The sequence below is a fragment of the Homo sapiens genome, chromosome 17, assembly GCF_000001405.40.
Source record: "Homo sapiens chromosome 17, GRCh38.p14 Primary Assembly".
In the NCBI taxonomy this organism is placed as follows: Eukaryota; Metazoa; Chordata; class Mammalia; order Primates; family Hominidae; genus Homo; species Homo sapiens.
Window position 1 is genome coordinate 4,630,445 of NC_000017.11, and position 13,369 is coordinate 4,643,813.

The 13,369-nt window shown below is 53.7% G+C and overlaps 1 protein-coding gene across 1 annotated transcript, besides 3 other annotated features; it reads right to left on the minus strand.

Annotated features, from left to right (window-relative positions):
- Nucleotides 1–474: 474 nt before the first annotated feature.
- On the minus strand, nt 475–11,234 carry ALOX15 (arachidonate 15-lipoxygenase). The gene is made up of 14 exons (NM_001140.5): nt 11,073–11,234; nt 8,986–9,187; nt 8,607–8,688; nt 8,406–8,528; nt 8,137–8,240; nt 7,773–7,933; nt 6,671–6,814; nt 5,315–5,524; nt 2,970–3,056; nt 2,702–2,871; nt 2,417–2,538; nt 1,737–1,837; nt 1,445–1,612; nt 475–1,335 (listed from the first exon to the last, which is right to left on the minus strand). Exons 1-14 carry the CDS (start codon nt 11,205–11,207, stop codon nt 1,156–1,158), a joined length of 1,989 nt encoding a protein of 662 aa, NP_001131.3. The 5' UTR covers nt 11,208–11,234; the 3' UTR covers nt 475–1,155.
- Nucleotides 1,002–1,531: an enhancer, noted in NCBI's record as "H3K27ac-H3K4me1 hESC enhancer chr17:4534741-4535270 (GRCh37/hg19 assembly coordinates)". NCBI's record gives its function as "activates a minimal SCP1, AML or CMV promoter by ChIP-STARR-seq in naive H9 embryonic stem cells {active_cell/tissue: H9 hESC(naive)}" and the evidence as "EXISTENCE:reporter gene assay evidence [ECO:0000049][PMID:30033119]".
- Nucleotides 1,532–2,059: an enhancer, noted in NCBI's record as "H3K27ac-H3K4me1 hESC enhancer chr17:4535271-4535798 (GRCh37/hg19 assembly coordinates)". NCBI's record gives its function as "activates a minimal SCP1, AML or CMV promoter by ChIP-STARR-seq in naive H9 embryonic stem cells {active_cell/tissue: H9 hESC(naive)}" and the evidence as "EXISTENCE:reporter gene assay evidence [ECO:0000049][PMID:30033119]".
- Nucleotides 7,478–8,677: an enhancer, noted in NCBI's record as "BRD4-independent group 4 enhancer chr17:4541217-4542416 (GRCh37/hg19 assembly coordinates)". NCBI's record gives its function as "activates an origin of replication core promoter dependent on BRD2, P300/CBP, MED14 and CDK7 cofactors, and independent of BRD4, by STARR-seq in HCT116 cells {active_cell/tissue: HCT116}" and the evidence as "EXISTENCE:reporter gene assay evidence [ECO:0000049][PMID:35650434]".
- Nucleotides 11,235–13,369: the final 2,135 nt, after the last annotated feature.

The window sequence follows — 13,369 nt, forward strand, 5'->3', positions numbered from 1 at the left end:
ACATTCTTAGGACTCACTATGTTAATGGTTTCCTTTGTAGTGTGTCTGGTTTCAGGACACAAATTAAATCCTATCCAGTTAGAAGACAATTTTTTTTTAATTTTAAAAAATTTTTAGGCCGGGCAGGGCGGCTCACACCTGTAATCCCAGCACTTTGGGAGGCCGAGGCGGGTGGATCACCTGAGGTCAGGAGTTCGAAACCAGCCTGGCCAACATGGCGAAACCCCATCTCTACTAAAAATACAAAATATTAGTTGGGCGTGGTGGCAGGCGCCTGTAATCCCAGCTACTTGGGCGGCTGAGGCAGGAGAATTGTTTGAACCTGGGAGGCGAAGGTTGCAGCGAGCCAAGATCGCGCCATTGCACTCCAGCCTGGGCAGCAAGAGCAAGATTCTGTCTCAATAAAAATAAAAAATTTTTAATTCTTTACCACATCAAGCATATGAACCCAGAAAAATTTTTTGATGCTCTATATTCTTTTGCCAATATTTTATTTAAAATAGTTCAGTCCTAGTTCTTTTCCATCTTTAGCGTAAAACAACTTTTTATTATTGTTAAACTCAATTTGGGTTCAAAATCCTATTTCCAGCCTAGGCAACATAGTGAGGCCCCGTCTCCACGAAAATAAAAAAATATTAGCTGGGCATGATGGCATGAGCCTGTAGTCCCAGCTACTCAGGAGGCTGAGGTGGGAGGATCATTTGAGCCCAGGACGCTGAGGCTGCAGTGAGCCGTGGTGATGGCACCACTGCACTCCAGCCTGGGTGTCAAAGTGAGACTCTGTCTTAACAACAACAAAAAAATCATATTTGATTCATAAAAGGTGTGGAGTAATATGTATTATATCCCCCTATTCTAGTCTTGAAATGATTTATATAATTGTGGCTATTTGCCATATAGATCTGAATGAAGAAAGAGGAAGAGAGAGAGGAAGGAAGATAGGAAAGGAGGAAGGAAGGAAAGAGGAGTAAGGTCCCAGGTGATGCCTCTAGAGTAAAATGTGTTCACTGGGTGCAGAGACCATGAAAAGGTGCCCCTCTAGGGAGGGTGGGACATGGGAAGAGGGTGGGACTTGGGAGGGCAGGGCTATAACCACGAAGGGGTCAGCTTGTGGCTTGGGTGATGGGGGCTGAAATAACCAAAGGGTGGCGACGCTTAGATGGCCACACTGTTTTCCACCACGCTGGGCCGCAGGTACTCGTAGGGCATGTCCAGCTTTGCATTCCGGATCTCAATTTCCTTATCCAGGGCAGCCAGCTCCTCCCTGAACTTCTTCAGCACAGCCTTAGGCTCAGGGCCCGAAAAATACTCCTCCTCATGCTGGCCCACAGCCACCTGGGAGGGAGAGGAAAAGGTGGCTGAGAGCCTTATGACCCCCAGTCTGGGATGCCACACGTCCCCACAGCTGCCTCCTTCCTTAGGGCCCTGGGCACTCAGCTCTCACCATAACGGGCTGGCGTCTGCCCAGCTGCCAAGTGATGGACATCTGGAGAGAAGCCTGGTGGAAGTTGGGCAGTGTCGCCATCACTGTCTCCAGCGTTGCATCCTTGGTGGTTGGCGGGGGCAGCCGCATCGTGCAGGGTGCATTAGGCACCCAAGAGTACCAGTCCAGCTAAGGAAGGGCAGGGATCCAGAGTCAGTGCCTACCAAGCACGCGAGCCCCGTGGTCCACCTGCACACAGACCCCTCCCTCACTCCAGGCCCCAAATTCCCAGCTGCCCATCTCTGGTAAGTACCTGGCCCAGGTGCACAGAGGCGTGTTGGCCGGTGCAGGTGAAGATACACATGGTGACAAAGTGGCAAACCTGGTCCCGAGCCTGTAAAGAGACAGGAAACCCTGCAAGGGGTGAAGAGAGTTAGAAGCTGCGAAGGCAGGAGTAGGGCAGCGCTCAGAGGAAGAGGCCAAGAGAGGAGAACAAGGGCGAGAAAGAGCGGCAGGAATGCTCAGTTAACTCTTACAGGAATTACCATGACAGCAGGTTGGGGTGGGGGAGTGGGGAGCTCTGCCGGGAGGGTCCCACTCAGTGGGGTGCTGCTGCTGACTCACACTGGCTCGCAAGAGTCAGTCCATGACGTTAGGTGTTTAGCAAGCTGGTCAGCATCACCTTGGTAGTCACAGTAAAAATATTTATACCATGGAAATGTGCAAAAGCTACAAATCAGGACGGTTCTTCCCGAGAGTCAGTTGTTAAACATTTATGAGCAGCCACTGGTCCCGCTGCATCTGGCACCTAGAGGTTCTCAGTGTGTAGGACGGGGACCTGTCTCTAGGTGACAGGGAGTGGAATCTGAGAAGGCCTCTGGAGTTCTCATAGGTGTTGAAAATGCTTCTGGGAGATTTCACAGAAGCACAGGGGATTCTGGGAAGATCTCTTGGGCTTTGTGTCTGAGATCTCAGGGCAGGGGCTCCTCTTACCTCGGTCCTGGGCCCCTTGCAGCCCGATTTCAGTGATCTCTCGACACCAGGTCTGCAGCTCTGGGTCGTCTTTCACAGCCACGTCTGTCTTATAGTGGAGACTCACGATTCCTTCCACATACCTACCAACCAACGGAGCAGGGCCAGGGAGCTGAAGCCAGCTCTGCCCCTGCTCACATGGCCAGGTCAGGGCCCCAGGCCCCCAACCAGACGCAGACCTCCTGCTCTCCTACATGTCTTCTCCACCCCCACTTGCACCCCCACTGGCCTTCCCGCTTGCCTCACCGATAGATGATTTCCCAGAGCCGCAGCGCATCTTGGGCATAGAAGGAAGACTTCACTCCCAGGAGCCCCCGGTCGGCCAAGTCATCAGGGGGACAGAAGGAGCTGTAGGTTAGGAAGGCTCCAGCTTGCTTGAGCAGCTGCACGTGGCCTCCCCCACCAGTGCTCATTATCTGAGAAGTGAGGGTGAGCAGGGTCAGGCGAATCGACCTGCCCTGAATCCAGAGCTGGAAAAAAGACAGACCCAGAATCTCCCTTTCTCTTCCCATACCTGGTCGAAAATTCCCATGTCAGAGACCAGCCCAGTCCTGGCCCGGACGTTAATTTCCAGGGTGTATCGCAGGTGGGGAATTATAAGCTAGAGGGAGAAACACAGGGAAGGGCAGAGTCAGAGGAGAGCTGCAAGATCCCTGCAGGAAACAAGGGCTGACAGCAGGAAAGGCACCAGGTCTTCAGAAAAAGCACAGACGTAAAGTTCAGTGGCCTCTCAACAGTGAGTTTTCAGAAGTACCATTCAACCCAGCAATCCCATTACTGGATATATACCTCCCAAAATATAAATCGCCTTACTATAAACACACATGCTCACGGATGTTCATCCAGCACTACTCACAATAGCAAAGATATGGAATCAACCTAAATGCCCATCAACAATAGACCAGGTAAAGAAAATGTGGTAGACATATGCTGTGGAATACTATGCAGCCATGAAGAAGAACAAGATCATGTTCTCTGCAGCAACATGGATGGAGCTGGAGGCCATAATCCTAAGTGCACTAACACTGGAACAGAAAGCCAAATATGGTATGTTCTTACTTATAAGTGAGAGCTAAACATTGAGTACACATGGACACAAATAAGGGAACAACAGACACCAGCATCTACTTGTGGACAGAGGGTGGAAGGAGTGAGGGGATCCAAAAACTACCTATGGGGTACCATGCTTATTACCTGGTGACAAAATAATCTGTACACCAAGCCCCATGACACACAATTTACTTACAGAACAAACCTGCCCATGTATCCTTGAACCTAAAATTAAAGTTAAAAATAAATACATAAAAATAAAACCACTGAGCTTTCAGTTGATTTGCATCAACTATTTCCATTCCACAAACCAGACTTAGTGCTTTATGATAATTGAAAGAAATCATTCTTTGTTGTTGTTGTTTTGTTTTGAGATGGAGTCTTGCTCTGTTTCCCAGGCTGAAGTACAGTGGTGTGATCTCGGCTCACTGCAACCTCCGTCTTCTGGGTTCACGCGATTCTCCTGCCTCAGCCTCCCGAGTAGCTGGGATTACAGGCGTGAACCACCGTGCCTGGCCTCCTTTTCTTTTCATATTTTTTCATAGGTCTAGACCAAGATTTCTCAACTTTTTTTTTTTTAATCACCCACTAAGTACCCTTTTGAGATGTTTTTTCCTAATCTCACTCCACCTCATTAAATATTAATGCTACATATATACTGTATATCTGTCTATGTATTGCATTATATCTGTGCTTTATATAGATATATATCACATTATATCTGTGCTATATAAAGTAATAAGATTTGGCCGGCCACGGTGGCTCACGCCTGTAATCCCAACACTTTGGGAGGCCGAGGTGGGCGGATCACCTGAGGTCAGGAGTTTCAGACCAGCCTGACCAACATGGCAAAACCTCATCTCTACTAAAAATACAAAAATTAGCCAGGCATGGTGGCAGGCACCTGAATCCCAGCTACTCGGGAGGCTGAAGCAGGAGAATTGCTTGAACCCAGGAGGCAGAGGTTGCAGTGAGCCAAGATCGTGACACTGCACTCCAGCCTGGGCAGCAATAATAATAATAATAATAATAATATTTTTCACACACATTTTCCAACCATCTTCATCCCTTGGGGGACATTGTGCCCCCACTGAGAATGGATGTTCTAACCACTGCCTCCCTCCAGAGCCTGGTCTCCTCCCTCTCTCCTTCATCCATTACACTAGGCTTCTTTCAGTTCTTTAAAGAAGACAAACTTGGACCAGGCACAGTGACTCACGCCTGTAATCCCAGCACTTTGGGAGACCTAGACAAGCAGATCATCTGAGGTCAGGCATTCGAGACCAGCCTGGCCAACATGGTGAAATCCTGTCTCTATTAAAAATACAAAAAAAATTAGCCAGGCCTGGTGGTGCGCGACTGTAATCCCAGCTACTGGGGAGGCTGAAGTGGGAGAATTGCTTAAACCCAGGAGGCAGAGGTTGCAGTGAGCCGAGATCGCATCACTGCACTCCAGTCTGGGCAAAGGGAGACTCCATCTCAAAAAAAAAAAAAAAATCAATGTCTGGAAAAGATCTTTTTAACGTTATTTCACGGGTTCCTCTTGTTGGATGGAATCCTTGGTCATTTGCATGTACTGTGCTTTACATATAAAAAGAGTAAGATTATTTTCGCCACTTTCCCAGGTGGGAGGTGCTATCCCCTTTGAAAATGCATGGCCAGCCCTGCTCATTCTCTGTTGCTCTCACATTGTCCATTCATTGTTTCTCTCTGTACCCCGAGACCCCACAGAGAGGGAGCCTCCAGAGGTCGGAACGTGCCCTGGGGCAGAGATAGTGGCAGGCAAGAGAGAAGGGGATAAGGAGTTACCTTGAAGATAGGATGTATCGACGGCAGGCACCTCATGGTGGCCACAACAATGACCTCAGCCATCAAGTGTCCCCTCAGAAGATGAGACTGCAGCTCATGGAGCTGGAAGTCAGAGCTGCGCACCCAGCATTTGGCCAGAAGCCAGGCCATTGGGGGATCCGTAGGCAAGAAAAGGGGAGGTGGTGGGGATCCTGTGCGGGGCAGCTGGAGCTGGAGCAGGGACAAGTGTGGGGAGAGAAGGCATGAGTGCCAGGCACTCAGCGATTCCCGCCCCCCTTGCATGTTAACCTCACCCTTCGTCCTCCAAACCTGTTCTGCTTTCCCCATCTCACTCCTGCCGCTCCCTACGGCTCCCGTTTCCTCCCCTCCCCTTCCTGCCCGCTCAGTGCATTAGCACCCTGCAAGCTGCTTTGCCTCCAGCATTCTGCAGAAACTGCTCTTCTGGTGCCTCCTCCAGCCTCCACTTCCCCTTTCAGTTCCCACAGTGTGGACAAGATTCAAACCACCTGCTTCCTCCATCCCACACTGTTTTTTGAAAACTCATCTTTTGGCCCCACCTCTACACAAATGACTGAATCTCTTGTTCTCAGCTGCCTGCTGGATAATTTAAGTGTCTTCCCGTTACCTCAACATTGGCCAGACAAAAATCCACCTGGGCACCCTGTTCTCTTTATCGGTGCTATTTCTGCAGGCAACTGGCCTGGCTCCCCTTTCCCCTCTCCTTGATCTCCCTCTGCACTCGCATCCACCTGTCCTCTCCATCCTGATGGTCACTACCCACATCCGAGCTCCCCTCCTCCTGGGGTCAGTGCTGGGGCATGTTGCCCCAGTCCCTATTTCTAGCATCTCCCCTCTCCAACCCACCCTAAACACCACTGCCCACACCGCGTGCCCACAGCACGTTTCATCACGGCCTTCTCCAGCTTCCCACCTCATACTCCTTAGCCTGGCTTAGTCTGGCTTCTGGTCCAACTGTCCCCTAGGAATTGCCTGACTCCTCTACCTCAGCCTCTGCCCAGTCTGTCTTGCCCCTGAGGACCGGTCCTTCCTCTCCCTCCTGCTTGTCTGAGACCTGGCCCTCCTCCAAAGCTCGTGACACCCCACCTCCCCAATCCCTCCTGGGCTGTCTCTGTCCTCAGGGACTTCCTCAGTCCTGGAGCTTCTGCAGACTGGCCCAGTCTGTCTCTCCAGCTACACTGCAAGGCCTTCGAATAGAGACTTGGCGCATTTCCTCCTTTCGCGTCTCCCAGGTGCCTTAGCCCAGTGCCTTTGCAGATGGTGCTCAGTAAATTTTGATAAGGGGCTGAGCTTTCTCAAAAGCCAGAGACTGGGAGCAGAAATCCTGAGTCCTCTCACCTGGATGACCATGGGCAAGAGTTTCCCATCAGGCTGCAATTTCAGCATGACTAGAGGGGCAGCCAGGTGCTGCTGGCTACAGAGAATGACGTTGGCCTTGATCCCATCCAGCAGGGAGAAGTCAGCTTCGAACAGTGTGCCTCCCTGGGTGGGGGAAGAGGTCAAGGGCTGCTATCAACATAAAGCATCTTCTTCCTACTCGGATTCCTCCAAGGGGGAAGAGAGTGGAGCTAACTCGTCTCCATCATCTACTTTATACCAGGTAATGGATCATGTGCTTACTTCCTCATATCATTTTTTTTTTTAATCAGGGTCTTACCGTGCTGCCCAGGCTGGAGTGCGTGGCAGGATCACCACGGCTCACTGCAGCCTTGACTTCCTTGGGCCCAGGTGATCCTCCCACCTCAGCCTCCCAAGTAGCTGGGACTACAGGTGCATGCCACTACACCAAAGATTACAGGTGATAATTTTTGTACTTTTGTAGAGACAGGGTTTCACCACGTTGCCTAGGCTGGTCTCCAACTCCTGGGCTCAGGTGATCCTCCTGCAGCCTCCCAAAGTGCTGGGATTACAGGTGTGAGTCACTGTGCTCAGCCTTATAATTTTTATACCTAGTTGAATGAGCCTCAATTTTACAGAAGAGGAAACAGATAATCAGAGAGGTTGGGTATTTTGCCTGAGGTCACACAGCTTACAAATAGCAGAACCAGGATTCACATCCAAGCCTATCTGCCCTTAATCCCATGAATTTCCTCTCTGTTGTTCCATATCGCCTCCTGATGAACAGCCACAGCACTCTGATCCTGACTCTCTTACTCTGCACACTCCCCGAATCCCTAGCACCAGGGGCCAGTCACATTTCTTCATTTGACCTTGTTTCTATCAACCATTCCATCTTGCACGCCCTCCCTCCGCAGCTACTCTCGTGTAGGAAGGAGGCCGAGCAGCTGAGCTTCTCCAGGGTCCCTCAGGACCTCTCCTGCAGAATCCGTCCTTGCTGGCTGGCAGCAAGCCAGGCCCACAGTGGGTCCCGCAGCAGCATCATTGGCACTAGGCCACCCCACTTCACTGCTGAGCTTCCTCAGGGCTCTGATGTCCATACCTCCAGCTCCTTCTCCAGCTGGGCCTGCAGTTCCTCCATGCCTGGAGGGAACACTAGGCGAGCAGGAAGGTGAGCAGAGCGCCTCAGCACCACGGGGTTGGCGCCATTAAGAAACTGGTACCCAAATAAGGCATCTTCCTTCCAGGAGTCCCGCACGCGCTCTGGGGAAGGCAGTTGTTGAGCAAGTTGTGGGATCTGAGCTCTTGGTCCTTCCAACCCCACCAACCATGCCTCCTTGACTCCAGCCCACCAGAGGGACCCAAGTCTCTGGTCTCCCCACCCTGCTTCTTTCAATTCCCCTGGGTTGGGTGGGATCTGGGTGGGATCTGGGGGGTTGGGAGACATACTGGGGTGGGGGACTGACCAGCCAGCTTGCTCTGACCACACCAGAAAATCCGGTTGAAGTCATCTAGATCCTTCCAGCAAGTCAGAACATTTAGAGAGTCTTTGATAGCGAGGTCGGCCAGCCTTCAGGGCAGGATGGGGCAAAGGGTTTGAGCATCATTCTGAGGCTCTAACATGACGACCACAGGCACCGATCCTGGGCCAGTCCAATGCAGTGCAGCCCATAAGCCCCTTGGCTTCCACTAGACCAGGACACCTCCCTCTCACCCAGCCTCCCCTTGCTCTCACCCCTTGGCCAGCGAAACCTCAAAGTCAACTCTCTTGTCTTCCAGAAATCGCTCATCCACAGGGAGGTCATATAGTTTGGCCCCAGCCATATTCAGAATTAACCCGTCCTTCCAGTTTCCCCACCTGTGGGGCAGGAAGGAAATCAAGTATGGGTGCTGGAAGCATCAGCAGCTCACGTGGGGTCAGGGGAGGAGGGCTCACCGGTACAACTTCCTTCTCTCTTCCAGCTCTTCTTCCCGGTGTTTCTGGAACAGGCCCTGAGGGTCCTCGCCCACAGTGCGGCCTAGAAGGACAGAGGAGGACTTGGCCAGTGACTTTTGGTGAGCGCCTCTTCTTGTCTCTGCCAGGAGAGCCTCAGCACCCCGTCCTTCTGTGTGGCCTCTGCCCCTTCAGCATCACGCCCCTCCCCCAGGCTCCAGCCACTTTGTGCCAGCTGCAGCCACCGCCCCTTCGACACCCCCAAAGACCCCGGCGCTCCAGGTTCCAGCACCCCCATCCTGCGCCCTCTTCTCCACACGCGCATCCCCCCAGCTTCTCACACAGCCCAGAGGCCTCCTGACACCCTCAGCCCCGCGCTTACCGGTGCCTTCAGGCAGGCTCAGGACGCCGTTGCCCTCCACCCAGCGGTAACAAGGGAACCTGACCTCGTCCCCGGCTCCGGGGCCCTGCACAGAGATCCAGTTGCAGAACCAGGCGTCGTCCTTAAGGAGGTGCCGTTTGCGCAGTTTCACAAACAGCAGCGGCCCCAGATACTCCGGTACTTCCACCTTGAGTTCTGTCTCCTGCGGGCGACAGAAGAGGCTCAGCCCCGGTGGGGCCTGGCGGGAGGGGCACCCGGCTGAGCCCTGCTCCCTCCAGCGCCCACGCCCTTCCTCGGAGCCTCTGAGAGGAGGAGACGTATCGGGGTGCGGGGACTGAGCCAGAGAGAGAGGGACCGCGCCGAGCAGGTGGCCCCAGGACTCGGTTCTGAGGGGACGGGGACGGCAGGTGGGAAGGTGCGCTCCTGCCTTCACTTTCTCCTCCCTGTGGTCACTGACTGTGCCAAGCGCTGGGCTGAGCGCTGCCGCGCCCTGGACGAGCGCGCTGTGGAGCCCGGACGCGCTGGTGGCAATTCCCGCTGTGCGACCCCCCACCCCACCCCGCCCGAGGCTGAGGACCTGCAGGGGCCCCACCGGCCTGGGGACAACCTTCCCGGAGACCTGGAGGCGGAGAGGGCTCAGCCAGGGAGAGTGACAGAAAGGGAAGGCAGGGGAAAGGCGCGCAGAAAGAGAGCGGCGGGGAAGGGAGGGCGAGCAGCATCTTGGAGCTGGAGCTCAGAGCCCAGGTGTGGGGGGTCAGCAGGTCCGGAGGCTCTCGAAGGTGGCGCCAGGGGCTTTGGATTTGGTCCCGAGAACAAGCGGGAGCCGTTCGAATGTGTTAAGCAGGGGGAGTGAATTAGGGAGAAATCATTCCGGCTTCAGAAGGGCTTGGAAGGTCTGCAGCAGAGGTGGCGAGGCCGCTGGAGGTTTGAAATGGCTTTTAAAATAGAGAAACCGGGAGGACCGACGACCGCTCCGGCGACCGCAGTTTCCAGGCACCAGAGCTGTGTGGAATGAGGGGCGCTCAGGAGCATCCCCTTAATTCCAAGGAGATCGAGTAGCGGGAACATTTATTGAGCCTTTACTGTGTGTCACCAACTGCCCACCATAGGGAGGAAAAAAGGGAGGAGGGAGCGCGCCTTTCCACCTTCCGTGCCCCGTCCCCTCACCATGGAGTCGCGGGGCCACCTGCTCCGTGCGCATTTTCTCTCTTCCTGGCTCCCTTTGCCCCGCTTTCTCGGAAGCTCGGAGCAAGGGCGTGGAGTGCGGGGAGCAGGGCTCCGCAGGTTCAAGAGGACGCGGGCGGTCGGGGGCGGGACGGATATTGGGCAGGGACGCGGGAGATGCTCAGGGTCTAGAACTGACTGCGCCGGATTCTTGTTTAGAGGGAGGTGAAGAGAGGAAGGAGGCGCGGGTGACACCGGGGGAGGCAGGAGGAGAGGGCTGGGAGGTGGGGAGAGGGGAGGACCTCATCCGGGCATGTTGCTTTGACGTTCCCTGAGACAGACATCCGGATTTGGGGATCTGGGAGAGAGCTAGAGCAGTGATGGGAATTTGGGCTTTCGCGGAAGAAAAAAAGTTAACAGGACCGGGTAGAACACCCGGTAGATGTGACATGAGATATGACGGGAGGTGGGTCGGGAAATCGAGAGCGTTCTCCTGTCTTGACTCCCCATCCCTTCCCTCTCACCACCCACTCCACCCCAGGTGATAAAGCCTGAAAGGTAGAGATCCAACAGCGCTAGCGGTTGAAACGGTTTTTAAAATAGAGAAAGCGAGAGGACCGACGGCGGCTCCAGTGACTGCTGAGTTTCCAGACAAGGGAGCTTTGTGCAATGAGGGGCGCACAGGAGCATGCCCTCAATTCCAAGGAGATCGGGTAGCGGCAACATTTATTGAGCGCTTACTGTGTGCCACCGACTGCCCTAAAGCCCCCCACCCCCGTGGCCTCCGCGCGCTTTGAGCCCAATGCGCGGGCCCTTGGCAAAGAGAATCGGCCAGAGGCCAACGGGGGCGCATGTCCTCCCCGGTATTTGACTGACTCGGAGCCAGGGGCGCAGCCCACCCCGCCCGGCTCTGGGGAGCTCACCTTGCCCCGTGCGGGCCACAGTCGCTTCCCGAGCGCCGCCTCCCCGTGCTGGCCGACCAGCCACAGCTGCACCTGGTTGTTGGAACCGGCATAGAGCGAGGCCCCAGTGGACACGCGGATGCGGTAGAGACCCATCTTGCTCAAAGATGTTTCGCTCCTTCTGGTGGAGAAGGGTGGACGAGCTAAATAACCCAGCCTGAGACCCCGCCCTCTCGGAGGTCGCTTGGGGTCGGAATGTGGGTGGCAGGTCTCCAATCAACTCCGCCTACCGCTGGGGCCCCCAGCTCCAAGGAGCAGAGCTTCAAGGGGCAGAATTCAGCCCCAGTCCAAAAGGCGGTGTCCTGGCGAGAGCAGGGAGTGGAAACCACTATCTTGACGGGAGGGAGAAAAAGAAAAGGATTTGGACCGAAAACACGCAGGAAGAGGGAATCAACGCCTGGTACAGCAGGCAGGCGAGGTGGGGGTAGGAGTTATGCACGTGTGTACCACGGACTTTGGGCCAAGCCTGGGTGGCTGGGAAGCCAACCTCCATCTAAACGCACGCGTGCACACACACACACACGCAAGGACACGCGCGCGCACACACAAGCCTCACAAGTTGGATTGCAGGAGAGGGTGAAGTGGGCGAGGAGACCCAGTTTGCAGTGGCATTTGAGGAAGGTACATTCAGGCCACGGAATTCATTCGACCAGCTTTGCACACTTGCCTTCTCTGTGCCAGCCACTGGGACTCATTCCTTTTGAGCATAAAAGCCGCTGCCTCCCTGTTGCCTGCAGAATAAAAGTCCAAATGTTTCTGGCATTCAATGCCCTTGCTAACCTGACCTGCTCTCCTCACCTCTCATCCCACTGCACCCTGGCATCTCCTGTGCTGGAGCCATGTGTTCCCCGGAACCCCCCCTCCCCCCGCCGCCCCTGCTGTTCTCTCAAAGAACTCACTTCTGGGTTAGTCTGGTCATGCTTCTAAACCCTAATTCGTCTCCAGTTTCTTTTTGGGCTGGAGCCATGTGTTCCCCAGAACCCCACCTGCTGTTCTCTCAAAAGAACTTGCTCCTGGATTAGTCTATTCATCTATTCATGCTTCTAAACCCTAGTTCACCTCCGGTTTCTCAGGAAAGTCTTACCCGGTACTTTCACCCCCCACCACCCCACCAGAGTGAATTAGCTTTCCTTTTTTTTTTTTTTTTGAGATATAGAGTCTCACTCTGTCACCCTGGAATGCAGGGTGGAGTGCAATGGCACGATCTCGGCTCACGGCAACCTCTGCCTCCCGGGCTCAAGCAATTCTCTGCCTCAGCCTTCCGAGTAGCTGGGATTACAGGCGCCTGCCACCATGCCTGGATAATTTTTGTATTTTTAGTAGAGACGGGGTTTCTCCATGTTGGCCACGCTGGTCTTGAACTCCTGACCTTGTGATCCACCCACCTCAGTCTCCCAAAGTGCTGGAATTACAGGTGTGAGCCACGGCGCCCGGCCCAGCTTTCCTTTCTAACACTTTTCTCCTTGCGCACACTTCTACTGTTGCACAGTTAATACTGCAGTGTGAGCATTTGTATGTGTGTATCCCCCACTAATGTGAGCCCGTCCTAGGCAGGGACTACACACCCAGCAGGACTCTCACTTTTGTTTCCCCTGGAGACGGCACAGTGTCAGGGTTTGTGGGTGTCAATAAGTGTTTGCTGAAACACACTGAGCTGAAAAATTCATTATAAATGAATGCTTCCCTTGGGGGAGACAAAGGGAAACAAATTATCAGGCAATGTAAACAAAAGGGGAATACTAACATAAACTTCATGGCATGGATTACAATCAGCCTGGTAACACAAATGAAGTCCACGAAAATATGTCTGTGATGCATATTTTCTGGTTTGCTTGTTTTTTGTTTTTGGTGTTTTTTTTTTTAATGAGATGGAGTCTTGCTCTGTTGCCCGGGCTAGAGTACAGTGGTGTGATCTCGGCTCACTGCAACCTCCACCTGCCGGGTTCAAGCGATTCTCCTGCCTCAGCCTCCAGAGTAGCTGGGATTACAGGCACCCACCAACATGCCCGGCTACTTTTTGTATTTTCAGTCGAGATGGGGTTTCACCATGTTGGCCAGGCTGGTCTTGAACTCCTGACCTCAAGTGATCCACCTGCCTCGGCCTCCCCAAGTGCTGGGATTACAGCCATGAGCCATCATGTCCGGCCCTGCTTAATTGTTTACTGGGAAGTACATTCATGTGATTCAAAATTCAAAAGGTACAAAGTGATATTCACTAGTTTCTCCCTCCTCTTGGCCCCAAGCCACCCAGTTGCTCC